The sequence below is a fragment of the Homo sapiens genome, chromosome 9 (genome assembly GCF_000001405.40).
Source record: "Homo sapiens chromosome 9, GRCh38.p14 Primary Assembly".
Classification (NCBI taxonomy): Eukaryota; Metazoa; Chordata; class Mammalia; order Primates; family Hominidae; genus Homo; species Homo sapiens.
The window spans coordinates 136243283-136258498 of NC_000009.12; the positions used below are offsets into that span (position 1 = coordinate 136243283).

General features: G+C 59.3%; 2 protein-coding genes across 14 annotated transcripts in view, besides 14 other annotated features; both read right to left on the bottom strand.

The window, feature by feature from the left end:
• Window positions 1–2530, bottom strand: part of QSOX2 (quiescin sulfhydryl oxidase 2) — a 39480-nt gene extending 36950 nt beyond the window's left edge. The window contains exon 1 of the mRNA NM_181701.4: window positions 2194–2530. Coding sequence (NP_859052.3) covers window positions 2194–2521 — 328 coding nt within the window. The 5' untranslated portion in view covers window positions 2522–2530. The remainder of the gene's footprint in view (window positions 1–2193) is intronic.
• Window positions 2058–2467: a silencer, noted in NCBI's record as "silent region_20503". NCBI's record gives its function as "represses an Ori minimal core promoter by ATAC-STARR-seq in GM12878 lymphoblastoid cells {active_cell/tissue: GM12878}" and the evidence as "EXISTENCE:reporter gene assay evidence [ECO:0000049][PMID:35858748]".
• Window positions 2498–2767: a silencer, noted in NCBI's record as "silent region_20504". NCBI's record gives its function as "represses an Ori minimal core promoter by ATAC-STARR-seq in GM12878 lymphoblastoid cells {active_cell/tissue: GM12878}" and the evidence as "EXISTENCE:reporter gene assay evidence [ECO:0000049][PMID:35858748]".
• Window positions 4565–5419: an enhancer, noted in NCBI's record as "H3K4me1 hESC enhancer chr9:139139693-139140547 (GRCh37/hg19 assembly coordinates)". NCBI's record gives its function as "activates a minimal SCP1, AML or CMV promoter by ChIP-STARR-seq in primed H9 embryonic stem cells {active_cell/tissue: H9 hESC(primed)}" and the evidence as "EXISTENCE:reporter gene assay evidence [ECO:0000049][PMID:30033119]".
• The window catches only part of CCDC187 (coiled-coil domain containing 187), a 56929-nt gene continuing 48403 nt past the window's right edge, over window positions 6691–15216 (bottom strand). For 6 of the 13 annotated variants that reach the window (XM_047423386.1, XM_047423384.1, XM_047423385.1 and 3 more), the window contains 3 exons: window positions 13423–13559; window positions 12375–13041; window positions 6691–11852 (listed from right to left, as the gene is read on the bottom strand). In XM_047423386.1, the coding sequence (XP_047279342.1) occupies window positions 10312–11852; window positions 12375–13041; window positions 13423–13559 (2345 nt within the window). In that variant the 3' untranslated portion in view covers window positions 6691–10311. The remainder of the gene's footprint in view (window positions 11853–12374; window positions 13042–13422; window positions 13560–15216) is intronic. The other 7 variants (NM_001378188.1, XM_047423387.1, XM_047423382.1 and 4 more) reach the window with 5 other exon arrangements.
• Window positions 7532–9205: a meiotic recombination region, noted in NCBI's record as "meiotic double-strand break mapped by DNA meiotic recombinase 1 chromatin immunoprecipitation followed by single-stranded DNA enrichment and sequencing in the germ cells of some male individuals with the PRDM9 A/A and PRDM9 A/B genotypes". NCBI's record gives the evidence for it as "EXISTENCE:chromatin immunoprecipitation-seq evidence [ECO:0000229][PMID:25395542]".
• Window positions 7532–15216: part of a biological region, named in NCBI's record as "9q34.3 QSOX2 distal recombination region", that runs on past the window's edge. NCBI's record gives its function as "recombination_partner: LOC108254695".
• Window positions 8542–8554: a nucleotide motif, noted in NCBI's record as "nucleotide motif; similarity to the predicted 13-mer PRDM9 A binding motif (LD hotspot motif), CCNCCNTNNCCNC". NCBI's record gives the evidence for it as "COORDINATES:motif similarity evidence [ECO:0000028][PMID:19165926]".
• Window positions 8849–8861: a nucleotide motif, noted in NCBI's record as "nucleotide motif; similarity to the predicted 13-mer PRDM9 A binding motif (LD hotspot motif), CCNCCNTNNCCNC". NCBI's record gives the evidence for it as "COORDINATES:motif similarity evidence [ECO:0000028][PMID:19165926]".
• Window positions 9136–9148: a nucleotide motif, noted in NCBI's record as "nucleotide motif; similarity to the predicted 13-mer PRDM9 A binding motif (LD hotspot motif), CCNCCNTNNCCNC". NCBI's record gives the evidence for it as "COORDINATES:motif similarity evidence [ECO:0000028][PMID:19165926]".
• Window positions 10388–10442: a recombination feature, noted in NCBI's record as "recombination_hotspot; EGL057 recombination breakpoint sub-region, resulting in a terminal deletion". NCBI's record gives the evidence for it as "EXISTENCE:DNA microarray evidence [ECO:0005524][PMID:21729882]".
• Window positions 10394–10406: a nucleotide motif, noted in NCBI's record as "nucleotide motif; similarity to the predicted 13-mer PRDM9 A binding motif (LD hotspot motif), CCNCCNTNNCCNC". NCBI's record gives the evidence for it as "COORDINATES:motif similarity evidence [ECO:0000028][PMID:19165926]".
• Window positions 10505–10517: a nucleotide motif, noted in NCBI's record as "nucleotide motif; similarity to the predicted 13-mer PRDM9 A binding motif (LD hotspot motif), CCNCCNTNNCCNC". NCBI's record gives the evidence for it as "COORDINATES:motif similarity evidence [ECO:0000028][PMID:19165926]".
• Window positions 14294–15216: part of a meiotic recombination region, noted in NCBI's record as "meiotic double-strand break mapped by DNA meiotic recombinase 1 chromatin immunoprecipitation followed by single-stranded DNA enrichment and sequencing in the germ cells of some male individuals with the PRDM9 A/B genotype", that runs on past the window's edge. NCBI's record gives the evidence for it as "EXISTENCE:chromatin immunoprecipitation-seq evidence [ECO:0000229][PMID:25395542]".
• Window positions 14772–14784: a nucleotide motif, noted in NCBI's record as "nucleotide motif; similarity to the predicted 13-mer PRDM9 A binding motif (LD hotspot motif), CCNCCNTNNCCNC". NCBI's record gives the evidence for it as "COORDINATES:motif similarity evidence [ECO:0000028][PMID:19165926]".
• Window positions 15086–15176: a recombination feature, noted in NCBI's record as "recombination_hotspot; EGL096 recombination proximal breakpoint sub-region, recombines with the EGL096 recombination distal breakpoint sub-region within the 9q34.3 CACNA1B recombination region, resulting in an interstitial deletion". NCBI's record gives the evidence for it as "EXISTENCE:DNA microarray evidence [ECO:0005524][PMID:21729882]".

A 15216-nucleotide genomic window follows, 5' to 3' on the forward strand; every position in this document is an offset into this window, starting at 1 on the left:
TTCCTGGATCTAGGAGACATTTAACGAGTCTGACAGCATTCAGGTCTGAAAAGAGACATTTACCCTCTATTCTCCCCAAGGCTGCTGCCTGTGAGGCTTCATCTACTTAACCTTGGCCTCCACAGCCCCTTTAGCTTAACTCAAGCATTTCTCTTTGCTGACTTCAAGTCTTTAGACAAAGCTTAACTCTTTCAATCAATTGCCAGTCAGAATCCACCTATGATCTGTAAACCTACCCCTTCCTATACCTTACATGTACTGATTTATGTCTCTCTGCCTATAACTTCTGTCTCCCTAAAATGTATAAAATCAAATTAACGTGACTGCCTAGAGCACACTTTCTTAGGACCTCTTGACACTGTTCCCCTGGCCATGGCCACTACACTTATTGGCTCAGAACAAACCTCTTTCAGTATTTTATAGTTTGGCTTTTTAGCCAACAGGACCCTCTGCCTGGGCTCCCTGAAGCCCTCTCCCTGCTGCCTGGTCAGGTCACCGCTGTCTTTCACTTTCAGCCATATCCTCCTCCAGTCTCAGTCTCAGGCACAAGCCTGTTCTTCCTGTCGTGACTGGGAAGACAGTCAGCCTCACTAAAGGAGGCTTACTGAGTTGAGTTCATCACACCACTGGGTATGGACGTTACTGTGTGGCTCTCAGGAGGGGCCTTCCTTCTGAGCTCCAGGGACAGTTCTCAAGGCTGCCTATGTGCTGCTTCGGTTACAGAATTTGCAATATTTGAATCTGGTACGATCTTTAGACTTCAGCGACTCAACTGAAAAAAAAAAATCAAAACCAAAACCCACAAAAAAAGTGACCAAGTCCTGCCAGGGCCACCTGCATTTTAATGAACATATCTGTTTCTGCCACTGAATAACACACAAGAACTGAAGGGTTCCCTACGTGATTGAATTACTTGTTTGTTTTCCTAAAAGCAGTGTCTAAAAACCCCACTGAACAGTTTTTCTGTCCATCTCTTCCAGTCTCTGACCTCAGTTCTGAGTCAGGTCAACAGGGACATAAGAAAACATGAGATCAAAGAGGAGGAATCCATTAGAATCAAAAGGCCCCAGCTCTCTAAGAGGAGAATGCATTTTAAAGATAACCATTTACAGTAACATACAAAAGCCCTACTTAGACTTGAAAAAAAGTTTCTTTACAAATCTGTTTGCGATGAGAAAAATACAGCAGGATTGGGTGTAAGGCATAAAAACAAAGGTGCAGGAAGAAAGAGTAGCAATTTGTTACAGATCTTGCCCACTGAAACATGTAATTTGAGGTTAGCACAACACAGGAAGTCCTGCCAAACCTCACTGGGTCGGGAGGACCTCCTACTTCAGTGATTTAAATACCATTTTAAGGGAAGGGTGTTGTGAATGCCCCCTCCCACGCCAACTCTAACCTGTAGAGCAGGCGAGTAACTTCGTGACTGGTTAACAACGTGCGACCAGATGAAAGCACTAAACAATAAAGTGCGGAACACTACCAGCAGTTTGGTGAAAGATTTCTCAAAGGCTGTGCATCTGTGATCAAGGAGCCCACCAATGAAATTCTTTGTAGAGTTAAAAAAATTGCTTTATAGGTTGTTTTGGGGTATTATAGAGAAGTCTCCAGAGTATTTGGACTTCTAAGTTGTGGGTTCACTTTGAGCACCCACTATATGGCCAGCGATCCGAACCAGAAAGTTAATGATGAAGGTTCAAAGGGAATGGGGTGGCTACGAGTGTGGAATAGGAATGAGGGATCCTCAGAGAACAGGAATTCTGGGCACTGGGGATGGGGTGTGTGGACGCTAGGAAACAGGTAGGGTAGGAGGCCTGGAAGGTCAATGAAGTTCTTGGGGCTCAAAACATAGGTATTTTGAGAGCTGGGATACGGGAGGGCTTCCCTATCCCCAAGCGTGCGGTGAGGGCTGCGGGAGAATGGTTTCATTTTGACTTCAGACAGCCCAACTCGTCAGGATCTAACGGGGATTAACTGGGAGAGACATGGGGAGCAGCTGGCTTAGTCTCCCGCCCCTGGAAAGGCCAGGGTTGGTCCGAGTCGGGTGCCTCTGTGGGGCAGGGACTGGCTCTGCGGTAAGGAAAGAAATACGGGGGAGGGGCCCCGGGACCCGCCTTCTGGGGCGGTCGCAAGGGGTCCCGGAAGGCCGCGGTCCCGGGGGTCGGGGGGTCCCCGCGCGGGGGCGCGCCTCACCTCGCACATCCCCAGCCAGGGCCCGCCAAGTGGGCGCGTAGCCGATGCAGTGGCCACACCACGACGAGTAGAACTGCACGAGCCACGCGGCCGAGCTGTTGGCGGTGGCCCCGCGCACGCTGCCGCTGTCCAGCACCCACACGGCGTCCTCGCCCGCGCGGTACAGCCGCGCCGCACCGCCCGCGCCCGGCCCCACCGCCGCCGCCGCTAGCAGCACTAGCAGCCGCGGCAGCCGTGCGGCCCGCGGCGGGGGCGAGCGCCGGGCTCTCAGCGCAGGTCCCGCTCCGATTCCCGGGCTGCGCGCCACCGCCGCCCCGGCCGCCGCCATGTTGGAAGTGCCGCCGGCGCGCTGAACTTTCACCCTGGCAACCACCGTCACGTGCGCCGGCGCGCCCGGCCCCGCCCCCGCGCGCCCAGTTCTGTTCCGCCCCGCCCCCTCACGTCTGACCCCGCCCTCTCTCCCCGCCCCCGCCCCCGCCCATGCGTGGCAGCCCCGCCCCCAAGAGTCTGATGACGCCATCTCCCCGCCCAGGCGCGGCAGGCTCCGCCCAGGCCCCGCCCCACCCCGCCGCGCGTTCCCCAAACCCCTTCCCTGAACAGGGCCAGGTGGCCACATTTAGCAAATGGAAGTGCACGACGCCAGGTTCAACGTGAATTTCAGACAAACAGTGAGTCGGTTTTTCAGCCTAGGTCTGTGCCATGCCTGAAATACAAATTTAACAAGACATTCTTAGACGTAAAAAACTATTCCGGGGTTCTTTTACTTGGCAACCCCACCTGGGGCTTCAGAGGGTCTGCAAGCCAGCCTCGACTTTTTAATATGATATTGGAACGCTTAGAAAATGCAGCAAAACATCCACTCAAAGTCAGATGTGTTGTGTGCTACCTTTTAGGATGTTCCAGTCGAATGCAGCTTCACGGTTTGGAAATGAAATCATATGACTTTTTTGCTTCATTGAACAGGATACCTGATTTTTTTTTTTGTTCCTATTCCTAATTTTTACACATGTCAAGATTTTCTCTGAACTGTGTGACCAAAACAAAACAAGGGAGTGGGCGAGCCTGGGCAACATAGCGAGAGCCCATCTCTTAAAAAAAAGAAAAAAGCCGGGCATGGTGGTGCACACCTGTAGTCCCAGCTACTTGAGGGGCTAAGGTGGAGGATGGCTTGAGCCTGGGAGCTTGAGGCTGCAGTGAGCCGTGACTCTGCCACTGCACTCCAGCCTGGATGACAGAGCGAGACCTTGTCTCAAAATAAATAGATAACTGTATTGTGGGGTTCTGTGTAAGATTTTGTTTAAAAGGTTTTGCTGCTAACAATGGTTAACCCCAGATGAGAGGATTCTCCCCAGAGGGCCCCTGGCCAAGGCGTCTGCTCCCTTTTCCTCACGTCCTGCGTCTCCCTGTTCATGTTTCCTTCCATCACCCACGTTTCCTGGCTTCTGCTCTGTGCCAAGCCCTGGAGACAAATCAAGAACAAAACCGAGCCCCCAGTGTCCCTGGCCTGCATTTGGGCAGACCCCAAACAAACCAACGCGTAAAGCAGCCACCGCGTGCTATGAAAAGCAATGAAGCCGGACACGGAAGCAGGTGCCAGCAGGGCTGCCGTACAGAGGAGGGTGGGGAGGTCTTTGAGAAGGTGACCCGAATGGAGAAGGAGGTGAGGGAGGAGGCACACATGCAAAGGCCCTGGGGCAGAAGGGTGCTGAGCACGCTGGAGGAACAGCAAGGAGCCGGACCTGGTGGGAGCGGAGCAAGCTGGGGGAAGCGTGGGAGGGAAGAAAAGCTGAGAGCCCGAGCGAGACCCAGGGGGCCTCACAACCTGGGCCGCAGACTCAGACTTTGATGCTGAATGGGGGGGTGGCCACGGAAGGATCGGTGCAAGGATGCAGCTCTGCCCTTCTAGTTGCAGAGTAGGAGGGGCAGGAGGGGAAGCAGGGGACCTGGGAGGGGCCGCCGCCTCCTTCCACAAGCTGGAGGGACTCCGGGGAGGGGTGAGAGGCAGTGCTGGTGGAGGGGTCGGCTGAGTCTGGGTGGAGGCAGAGGGTGTCACATTCGCAGAGTTTGGGCCAAAGCAACCAGAGGAATGGGGTTGCTTACGGCTGAGACTAAATCCTGCAGCGGCGAGATGGGAGAGCTATGCTGGGGAGGATGCCATGAGTTTGCTTTGGACCTGTTACATCTGAGCAGCCTTTTCAACCTCTAAGGGAGGTGTCAGGTCAGGGTTTAGAAGTGGGAGTCGAGTCTGGAGCTCAGCGCTTGAGGCTGCTTGAGGTCCCCCGGGGAGGCTGTGGGACAGAGGGGAGGGCCACACACTGAGCCCCAGGCCTCCAGAAGGAGCAGCAGCGAGGTGGCAGGGGAACAAGGAGTGGAGGAAAGGAGGCTGATCTGGCTGAGACAGAGGACGTCATGAGCCCAACTGGAGGGGCACATTCGGAACATCGGGGCAACACCTCACCCCAAACCTGCTCGGTGAAACGGAGCCACCCCTGGGACCAAGCTTAGCCCAGCACTTAGAGGCCACACCCCAAAACAACCAGAGTTTCTCCCATCTAAGGCAGGGCGGGGGAGGGGAAGGGGTTAGGATTGAATCTCGGAGTCTACGTAAGAGCTGTCTGTGCTGAGCCAGATCCTGCCCAAAGCCTGCGTGAAATCTGCCCCCCACCCCACCTGCAGGAGAGGCATCGCACGTCGCTGTGGCAAAGGCCAGGTGACTGCAGGCGCGGTTAGCGTGCGTGCCGCGGAGCGAGAAAACACGCGGCCAGTGGCCATTTTCAGATGCCCTGACAGAGACAGCTCTGGCTTCAAAGAGATCAAAATGCGGGGAGATCACATCTCAGACATGATGAGATAAGGCACTGTGCAGGCTGAGGCAGCAGCATCTTGGACCTAATCTGCTGTGTTGGATCCTGATGAGCCTGATTCCGGGAAGGCCTCCAAGATTTCCAGTTGATCTGTTGTTCCCTGTGTAGAGCAGGTACTTGCCGTAAATCCCACCCTTAGGGCACAAAGCCTTGATGCTGTCTGCTTCAGGTTTCTGCACGTTCCTTCTAAACCAGCCTCCCCTATGGCAGATAAGCCCTGGGCCTGGGGGTGGTGGCGGGATCCCGTCTGTCGGTGCCTCCAGAGACACAGATGTGGCTTCCATTTGTAAGTCCCTACTAAATGTTTCTTCCTGAGAAACTGGACTTGTCAGCCTCTTTCTTCTGCCTCTCAGCCTCCTCCATCTTTGGGGCAGGTTTGCAGAGGCCTACCCATCGTGGAACAGGTATTGATATTCCTGTTTTACAGAGGGAGAAACTGAGGCTCAGAGGGCTGACTACTGTGTGAGGTGAAGGGCACATGGCATGTATGTGACAGAGAGGAGGGCCTCAGGCCCACGTGCCTCCCAGAACCCAGGAGGGCCCACTCTGATGCTTGCATTGGAGACAAAGACAGAACCCAGCTCTGAGCCGCCTCCCTTTCCACATGGGGAGAGCAGAGATGAGGCCCAATGGATTTCAATGGCCCCGGCTCCAGGACTTGCCCTGCTGTCCACGTCTCCCCCTTTAGCAGGAGTTTGGCATGGAGGGCTCAGCTGCTTAACGACCACCACCCATTTTGGGAAAACTTCTGAGGAAAAATTCTGCACACCTGTGCCAGCCCCTGAGCACTGGCGACGTGCCCGGGACAGTGCCTGAGGGAACAATTCTTCATGTCCTCACTAGGACACCATGAGGAGGTGGGTGGCCACCCTCCAGGGACTGTGGACATGGAGGCACGTCTGGGGGCAGGGGCTCCTGCCAGACCCCTAGGGAGAGGTGGAGCAGGGCCCAGGCAGCCTCAGAGCCCGAGCTGGCTCCCAGCACCAGTGTGGTTGGTGCTGTATCGGCTACAGCCTGATGGACATGGTGAGTGGCGGGCAGGAGAAGGGCGGCTGGGAGCCCCGGGGCAGGGCCAGGGCCAGGGGGTGTGTGTGATCCCATCCTCCGCTCCCAGCTCTGATGCTGCCATGCGGGGACAGGGCACCATGGGATGGCTGTGGGACCTGCCAACACTCTTCCAGGACCCCAAAGCTGCCTGGGGAGCTGGGAAAAGGACGGCTTGTGAGCCTGGCTTTGCTGGGCATGAACGGGCCAAGCTCGACCCTGGGGACAGAGAAAATGACCCGCAGGGACCCTGCTCCGCCTGGGCAGTGAGTGAGCTCTCCCAGCGCCCTGGGTGCCTGGAGGCTTTGCTTCCCAGGAAAGTGTGCGGCCGCCACCTTTCATAAAGGGCCCCCGGCCTTCATGCGTGTTTTATGAGGGTGGCCGTGATGGCCACGCAGGGCAGGGAATCAAAGGGACTCGTAAAGTTTGTCTGATGATTTGGGACTCGGAGCACTGCGGACACGTTCATGGGCATTTTATGCAGGAGGGAACCGTTAAGCAGGGAAGCTGAAAGAGACAGATCACGGGAAAATTAAATGTAGGGTTTAACTGAGAAATAATCATTTTCTATGAAAGATAATGACTTCTCTGGAGGCTGGTATCAAGATTTATTGGCCCAAGCGGTGACGACAGATCAGAGCCCAGGCAAATACAGCAGGAGACCTTGAAGGGGAGGAACCTTGGATTACCATCTTGCCCGGTCAATATATCTGAATGCCAAAGCCCTCCGCTCTGTATATGTCCTGTTGGGAGATTAAATGCGTTTACACCTCTGCTGAAGCGGCTTTTTCTCCGGTGCTCAGAGTAACCTGACGGCTCCGGCCCCCTCCAGGGCCGCTGTCCTTGGAAGCCCTGGCCCGGGTTTTCCTTCGTTCCTCACGACCAGCCCCCTTCAAGGGCACCCTACCACCTGCCAGCGACGCGAGGCACCTGCTGGGCTCCCAGGGAAAGTCACGCTGGTTCCAGCTGTGACTGCAGCCGCCACCGCATTGCGCCGCACGTCAGCACCAACCACGTGGCAGCGAGCCTGGGAGCCATCAGATTCGCTGCAAATCTGCGGGGCTTCAGTGGTGGAGATTTATCGTCATGCCAGATGCGTGTGTGTGAGATACATAATTCCTCTCACACGGCCTCATAAATCCAAAAGGGTCAGCAATAAATGGAAAAAAATAAAAAATCACAGACTAATTTGTTCAGAAGACTAGAAGGGGATCAATGAGAAAGCTGTAGCTCAGCTCAAAGTTTGTTCTGAAATTGGGAGCATGGAGCAGGAACACATTCCCCACTGGATCCAAACATCTGCATTCTCAGGTGGGCTGGGCAGGAGCTGGTGCAAAATCAGATGCATGGCCCGAGCTGGGCTTCCTGTGCACATGGTGAATGGGGACCCTGACACAGGCCGGCCATTGTTAACGGCACCTGGGGCTAAGCAGCCGCCCCGGGGCTGGAGAAGGCAGGCTGGGTCCAGCTGCTCCCGGGCGAGGGGTGTCTGGAGAGGGGCTCTTGCCTCACGGCAGGGGGCCCAAAGAGGTTCTAAGGGGCCTGGGGTCTCTCACCAGAGCTATGGGGTAGAGGGCCTTGGCAGCTCCGTGTGTCCTGTGACCTGGCATCTTAGGGCTTTGCCACGCCAGCTTTGTGATGCCTCCCACCAGACTGCATGCATAAAGTCTGGAGTATGCTCCTCTCTGAAGTGGAGGAGGCCTGAGGCCCTGGACAGGAGAAGCCACATCCTGGAAGGATCAGTGCTGGGACACAGATGTCCCTAAGGCCAACACGCTGCTCATCAACTCCGCATTCAAGAAGAGACCCTCAGATTCAAAAGGGTCCCAGAGAAATTACAGGGGTCCCAGTGAATCCTCTGGAAGCAAAGAAAAGTCCATGGCACCAGGAGAAATCAGCTGCCCTGGCCTTCCAGGCACAGCAAGTCCTGAGCATGCTCCAGAAGAGACCTTGGGCCACTGATCCCCAGAGGAAAAGCCCCCGGCCGTGCGGGCTGCGCAGAAATGACCTTGGGCCCTTGAGCCGTGGCTTCCTCTGGTCTGTGCAGCTCAGGTGTGAGACATCCATGCCCAGTCCACCCAGCTGCACGTCATGTGCCGGCAGTTTGGGTGTGGGAGGAGCCTCCAAAGTCAAAGCAGGCAGATGCCCCTGACTTCTAAGCAGGGCTCAGGGGTGTGAGTCAGCACCAGTCAGGCCCACCCCAGCTCTTCTTTTCCCCAGATGTTCTCTCTTCCTCTCTTGGCCTTCGCTGATCCCCATGACCCCCTTCCTGGCATAGGCGCTGCTCCGCCCCGTCCTCGTTCCTGCTCTTGGCGACTCTGACTGTTCTTGCCTCTGGGCTGCAACGCCTTTTCTTGGACGCCTCTTCGTGGCTTTGATGCGAAGAAGCAGGTGTGCAGTCCGGGCCTGGCTTCAGGTGACCGTCCCGCGGAGCCGGCGCCCACCCTGTCCACCGGGGGAAGAGCCGGCCACCCACCCGGTCCACCCCGGGAAGGTCCAGGCGACCGTCCCGCGGAGCCGGCCGCCCACCTGGTCCACCCTGGGAAGAGCCGGCCGCCCACCCAGTCCACCCCGGGAAGGTCCAGGCGACCGTCCCGCGGAGCCGGCCGCCCACCTGGTCCACCCTGGGAAGAGCCGGCCGCCCACCCAGTCCACCCTGGGAAGGTCCAGGCAACCATCCCGCACAGCCGGCCGCCCACCCCGTCCACCAGGGGAAGGTCCAGGCGACCGTCCCGCAGAGCCGGCGCCCACCCTGTCCACCAGGGGAAGAGCCGGCCGCCCACCCGGTCCACCCCGGGAAGAGCCGGCCGCCCACCCGGCCCACCCTGGGAAGAGCCGGCCGCCCACCCAGTCCACCCCGGGAAGGTCCAGGCGACCGTCCTGCGGAGCCGGCCGCCCACCTGGTCCACCCTGGGAAGAGCCGGCCGCCCACCCAGTCCACCCTGGGAAGGTCCAGGCGACCATCCCGCACAGCCGGCCGCCCACCCCGTCCACCAGGGGAAGGTCCAGGCAACCGTCCCGCACAGCCGGCCGCCCACCCTGTCCACCGGGGGAAGGTCCAGGCAACCGTCCCGCACAGCCGGCCGCCCACCCGGTCCACCCTGGGAAGGTCCAGGCGACCATCCTGCACAGCCGGCCGCCCACCCGGTCCACCGGGGAAAGGTCCAGGAGACTGTCCCGCACAGCCGGCCGCCCGGCCGGTCCACCCTGGGAAAGTCCAGGCCTCTAGGTTCTTACTCCCACGTGTGCATGTGTATGCCACACACAGCTCACAATGACATTGTGGACGCCTGTGCACCTCTGTAGTTCCAGAAAACACTCCCTAGGGGCTGCACCTGGGGGCCTGTGTGGAGAGAGCTGCTAAGGAGTCACGCAGGACCCTCCTGGTGAGCCACGTGGAGACCAAGTCCACTGCCTGGTCTCTCTCCACACCTGGGAGATGGGTACAGCGGCCTGAGTCTGTCTCCAGGAGCGGCTTTCTGCCCAGTGAGCCCTCGGGCCTGGGTGGGTCCTCTACCTGGCAGCTCAGGCCTCCCTCAACGTCCTCACCAGCATGCTCAAGGGACCCAGACTTTCCACTGGCGGCCAAGGGCACTTGGCCTGGGAGAGAGGCTGCCGGGGCTGCCAACCAGGGACATGGAGGTGTGGCTGCCTGTGGGGGTGTGGCTGCCTTCCTGTTCTTACCCAGCATTTCTTTGGGGTCTTGGCCCCTGGTGGGGGTCTTGGCCAAGCAGGCTCGGCTGCCCAGGGACCCTGCCGCAGGTGAGGCAGTGTCCAGGAGCTCATCCAGACCCACTAAGAGCTGCCCCGCTACCCACCCCGGCTCTCTGCATGCCCAGAGCTCTGCGCTCCTTCCCAGGGCTCTCCCCGACTGCCCAAGACCTCCTCAAAGGCCACATCAGCCCAGAACCCTGTGCCCAAAACAGGAGCCCAGTCCGCCGATCATCACTTCCACGTCACCAGCTGCCAACAGCCCTGACAGACCTTCCCTGGCCACAGAGGCCACTCTGGATGGAGCTGGGGGCTGCACTGATGGCCCTGGGAGCCCTCCAGGGGCACTGCCTGACCCCTCACACGACGAGTGCCCTGGCCAGCTGACAGGTTCAGGCCACTGGCTGCCTCCGGCCTCATCCCCTGCTGCAGAACTGCATCTACCCAACTGGTCGTCAACGCTTCCACCCGGACCAGCCACCCCTGGGCAGAGCCCCAACTACTGGGTTCCCGCCGACCCCTGGGGCCCAGGAAACAGTCCCTCCGGCAGACTCTCCTCAGACAAGGAGGACAAATCCTGGGTGGTGATGGCGGTGTCCTCCTCAAGGGGCCCCGAGGGCGGGGAAGGGAAGGCATCCGAGCATGGGTTGGTGTCTTCACCATCACTCTGTGCTTGGGGAGTGGGAGGAGGTGGGGGTAGGGGGGCCTCCCTGTGGATGGAGGACGGGAGGTCGGCACTGCCGTAGGACAGCAACTCGTCCACGGGAGACAGGATCTCAGTCAAGACGTCACCGGCAAGTAGGGGACAGGCTTCCTCCAGGACAGTGGGGGCCCCATTCCCACCAGGCCCAGGCGCCCGGCTCTCAGCTACTGGAGGTGCCAGCCTGCCTGGGTCCCCAGGAGGAGCCTGCAGGGTCACCGGGGTCTCGGGCTCTGGCATGAGGTACGGGAGTTTGCTCTTGGTGGATGGGCTCGGGTCAGCATCCCGGGTTCCCTCCTGGTAGCCAGAAGTCTCTCCTCCTTTGCCGAAATCTGCCCCTTCACTCAAAGAGGTCCACGAAGGAAAGACCAGCAGTGAGTCCGAGTCACCGGCAGAAGAGATTTGCAGCGGGAACACCACACCGGCGGCCTCAGGGGGTGCCTGGAGGGCTTCTCCTGTGTCTGACACCCCCATCAGGCTCTCGCTGGTCCCAGAAGCTTCCAGCCCCTCCCCAGGCCATGGGGACGGAAGAGCCACCTGGGGCTCCATGCCGCTTCTGACACCCCCTTTCAGGCTCTCGCTGGTCCCAGAAGCTTCCCGCCCCTCCCCGGACCGTGGGGAGGGAGGAGCCACCTGGGGCTCCACGCCGCTTCCAAGGCCCAGTGAGCCACCTGCAGGCAGGGAGCTCCCCGAGGCTGGCTTGGCCCCGGTACAGGGTTCTGGCAGGTCCTCCTCGCAGTCCTCCTCCCAAACTTTGCTGGAGGCCTCTGACAGCTCTGACCCTGACCTTGGAGAGGGGATGTCTGGGAAAGGCAGTAGCCAGCCTGCCTTTGGGCTTTGCTCCGGCGCTGAAACTTCTGCCATGGCCGTGTCCAAGGAGGAGCCACGCAGGGGGCCGGCCCTGCGGCCCTGGGGCCTCTGCCAGGTCACCCATCCTCCACCCCCAGGAGCACTGCCTGGCCGAGGCTCACCCTGGTTTGACCGCCAGGACAAAGGCAGGCCAGCTTCCCCCGAGGAGTGTCGGGCAGAGAGCTCTCCAGGCCAGCTGAAACCTTCGTCTGGGGAGTCTTCAGCTTCCAAGCTGGGAAGAGAGCTGGAGCTCCCAGAAAGCTGGATCAGGGTAGCCGCTGCTTTCTGGAACTCCCAGAGAGAGGGACAGGACAGGCTGCTCACAGAGCCTGCTGGGGAGGTGTGGGATGACACCGTGGCTTCTTCCGAAGGCCCCCAGCAGGTTCCAGAAGCAGACTCAGAGCCTGGACCGCAGGAGGAGGTGGTGGGGAGAAGGGGACTGCCCTGGTGCAGGATTGGGGGCGCCGCCTCCTCAGGGACCACAGGAGCTGCTAAGAGAGGGGGCAATCAACAGTGGTCACCCTCTGCACCCTGGACCCCATGCATATCCCACGACCCCCAAAGCCAGGAGGTCAGAACAGAGAAACACCCTGAACAGAGGCAGGAAAAGCGTCGAGGGTGCCAGCGTGTTCGACCCTTGTGATTCCAACCCAGGGGTTCACCACGCCCACCCCCACCCACACGCAATGAGTCATGTCCAGGGGCCTTGCCGAGCCTCGGGCACCCGGCCTCATAGCACCACAGCTGTGGTTCAAGGACTGACTGGTTGGCTCTGCCTTGTTTTATTTTCATTAGGGATGTGGGTGGATCCAGACAGAGGATCCCTGACCGTCACTCACCTCCCCTGGCAACCCTGTGATGGGGAGGTGCGTGGGCAGAGCCCCCCAGCTAGGCAGTGGGGAAGGCAGGGGCTGCGTATTGTGGGGAGAAGCTGGCTCTGATGTAGAAATGGCTTGGGGGACCCTTAGTGGGGACTCGATGGCTGAAGGAGGGGCTGGGGGCTGGGGCATTACCTGGGGAGGCAGCGGCCTGGGCAGCCTCCAGCCAGGTGGAGGAGATGCCGGGGACCTCCTGCTGACAGGCCTCCGTCCTGCAAGCACATTCGTGGAGAACCCTGTGGGGATCCTGGTCCTCCTGGCCTCTTCCCCAGGGCCCACTGTCAGGGACCCCACCAGGCTCAGTCCACAGCTCACACTCGAAAAACATCCCAGCCAGTCCTCTGCCACCACCTGAGTGACCCTGAGGGCAAGGGCTCCCCGAGGGCTTGTCTTTGGGGGCATCCAGTCTCAATCCCACTGGATCAGGTGGCAGAGAGGGGGGTGGGGCTGCCACTCCCAGGGGGTTCGAAGCCGCTCTGCTGACCTTGGGCTGATTCATGGGTGACATTTTTATTTCCAAAAGTGGGTCAGACCCAGGAGGGCTCAGGGTGGGTGCAGGGCTGTGCCCCGGCAGCACAGGTGTGCCAGGAGAGAGTGAGGGTCCCCACAGCAGGGGGACAGGGGGTACCGGCTGAACCCGTCTCCGTGCCTCACGCTCCACCCCTGCTCCAGGGAGCTCAGCCCCACACCTCTGCTCCCCCGATCGCCAGCTCTCGGTTTCCTGGGACTCCTCCACGGGGCTCTCAGCAAAATCCAGCCCCGATTCCAAGCCCTCTTCGCTCATGCTGTCCTCAGCCACCTGCTGGAGAGACGTTGCAGAAATGACACTGTTGGGGTGTGGCCTCTGTCTCTGTCCACCTCCCGTAGCTGGATGGAGCCCCTGTGCTTCCAGCGACCACGGTAAAGGAACAAAGACCACTCAAAAGAGGGCTGTGGAGACCCCCACTTGCCAGATTCCCCTCCTCCCATTGGGCCCTGCCACCATGGAAAAAAAGTCTGTTTTTCTGCCCAGGTGTTGAGTCTTAGGGTGAGACCCAGAGAACTGGCAAACCTCAGAACTGAAGGCATCTGCTGGGAAGGGCCCTGGGGCACCCATGGGATGGACCAGGAGACCCCTCAGGGCCACACAGCAAGGCCGGGCCCCACACAGCCCACAGGAAGGGCACGGCCACACCCGACTCACGCTGGCTTCTTGTGGGCCACAAGGACCTTCTCTGCCGCAGGAGCGTCGGCTGCGTTCCCTGAAGCTCCCCACATGGCTGTCTGTTGGAGCCCGGGGCTTCCCTGCTAAGGAAGGGCCGGGCTTGGTCTGAGGGTCTCCTGGAGGGCAAAGGGACTGTCAGCACTGGTGGGGACAGAGGCAGGGAGCAGGAGCAGCTCCCAGGAATTCCGAAGCCACATAAAACAAATCTTAAAATTCAAAGTGGTGTACACCTTTCTACAGTGCTTGGTTAGTATGAGGGCGGAAACATACATGGTAGTTTGCTCCTAAAATGATCCTGTCATTGGACAGTTAGTGATCAAAGTCCCAGCCAAAAGTTTAGAGAAAATTCGTTTAGAATTCAGAGGCCGGCTGGGCGCAGTGGCTCACGCCTATAATCCCAGCACTCTGGGAGGCCGAGGCGGGCGGATCACAAGGTCAGGAGTTCGAGACCAGCCTGGCCAATGTAGTGAAACCCCGTCTCTACTAAAAATACAAAAATTAGGCGGGCATGGTGGCGGGGGCCTATAATTCCAGCTACTCAGGAGGCTGAGGCAAAAGAATTGCTTGAACCCGGGAGGCGGAGGTTGCAGTGAGCCAAGATCACGCTACTGTACTCCAGCTGGGGAGAGAGTGAGACTTTGTCTCAAAATTATAATAATAATAATAATAATAATAATAATAATTTAGAGGCCTCTTTCCCTCCCTTGGGGGAAACCTTTTGCCAGAGCTTGTTCTTCCCCCTCGGTGCCGTCCGACAGACACTGGTGTGAGGCAGGGGTGGTGCAGAGGGCCGGTGGGGGGCAGGCCTCGGACACAGCAAGGCCACCAGTGCACCGCCGGGGATCACAAAGGGGGACAAAGGGACGGGTGGGGCCACCGCAGAGCCCTCCCCAGGAGCACCAGGCCCCCCAGCATTGCACCTCCATCTCCCTAGACTTTCGTTCTGTGGGGTCAGGGGACTCTGAGAGCCAAGGCCACCTGGCTAAGGGAACCAGAGCTGTTTGTCTAAAGCCCAAGGAGGGGGAAGCTCCATCAGTGGGAACACCTGCCCTCTTGTCCGTGGCTCCGGGTGACCCCAGCGACCACAATGGGGCGTCACCCAGGGAGCCCCTGCAAGCGCAGTCTTTTGATCAGAGAGCGGCCGGCACCGCAGTCAGGCAGACTCAGGGTGAACCCTAGACCACGTGAGAACATAAGTCAGGCCTCAGGCTCCTCCTCTGCTGCGTGGGCATAACGAGTGAATCCACCTCCAGAGGCAACGAGGACCCATGGTGGGTGCAGGCGCCTGGCTGGCCCCCCGAACGGTGACAGCTGGTACACGTGGCCATGCGGCGAGGGAGGCTTCAGGCTGAGCAAGCTTCACGGTGGCCGCAGAAGCCTGAACAGCGCAGGCCCGGAGGTGACGCGGGACACAGAGGGAAAGCGCTCTGTATTCACTCCGCCTCCCAGTGTCACTGGCCTCTCCAGGGAGCCCCACCAGCCACGCTCTCCTGGGCAGCCCCACAAGTGCTTCTGATCTCTTTCCGTCTCAACCCATCTGTCCTGAGGTTTGCTCTCCCTGGCCCCAACGGCAGGGACCCCCCAGTCTATGCCACCCCCCTTGGGTGGCATAGTCTCCCTGCTTCCGAGGATGGACACTGGGTGGGGGCCTTCTGAATTCGGCACCCAGGGCTGGTCAGGGAGCTCCGAGGTGGCATCGCAGGGCACACAACCCCCCACTCTTCAGCCGGCGGCTACCAGACGCACCACCAGGGTTCCCTGACACTGTGAGTG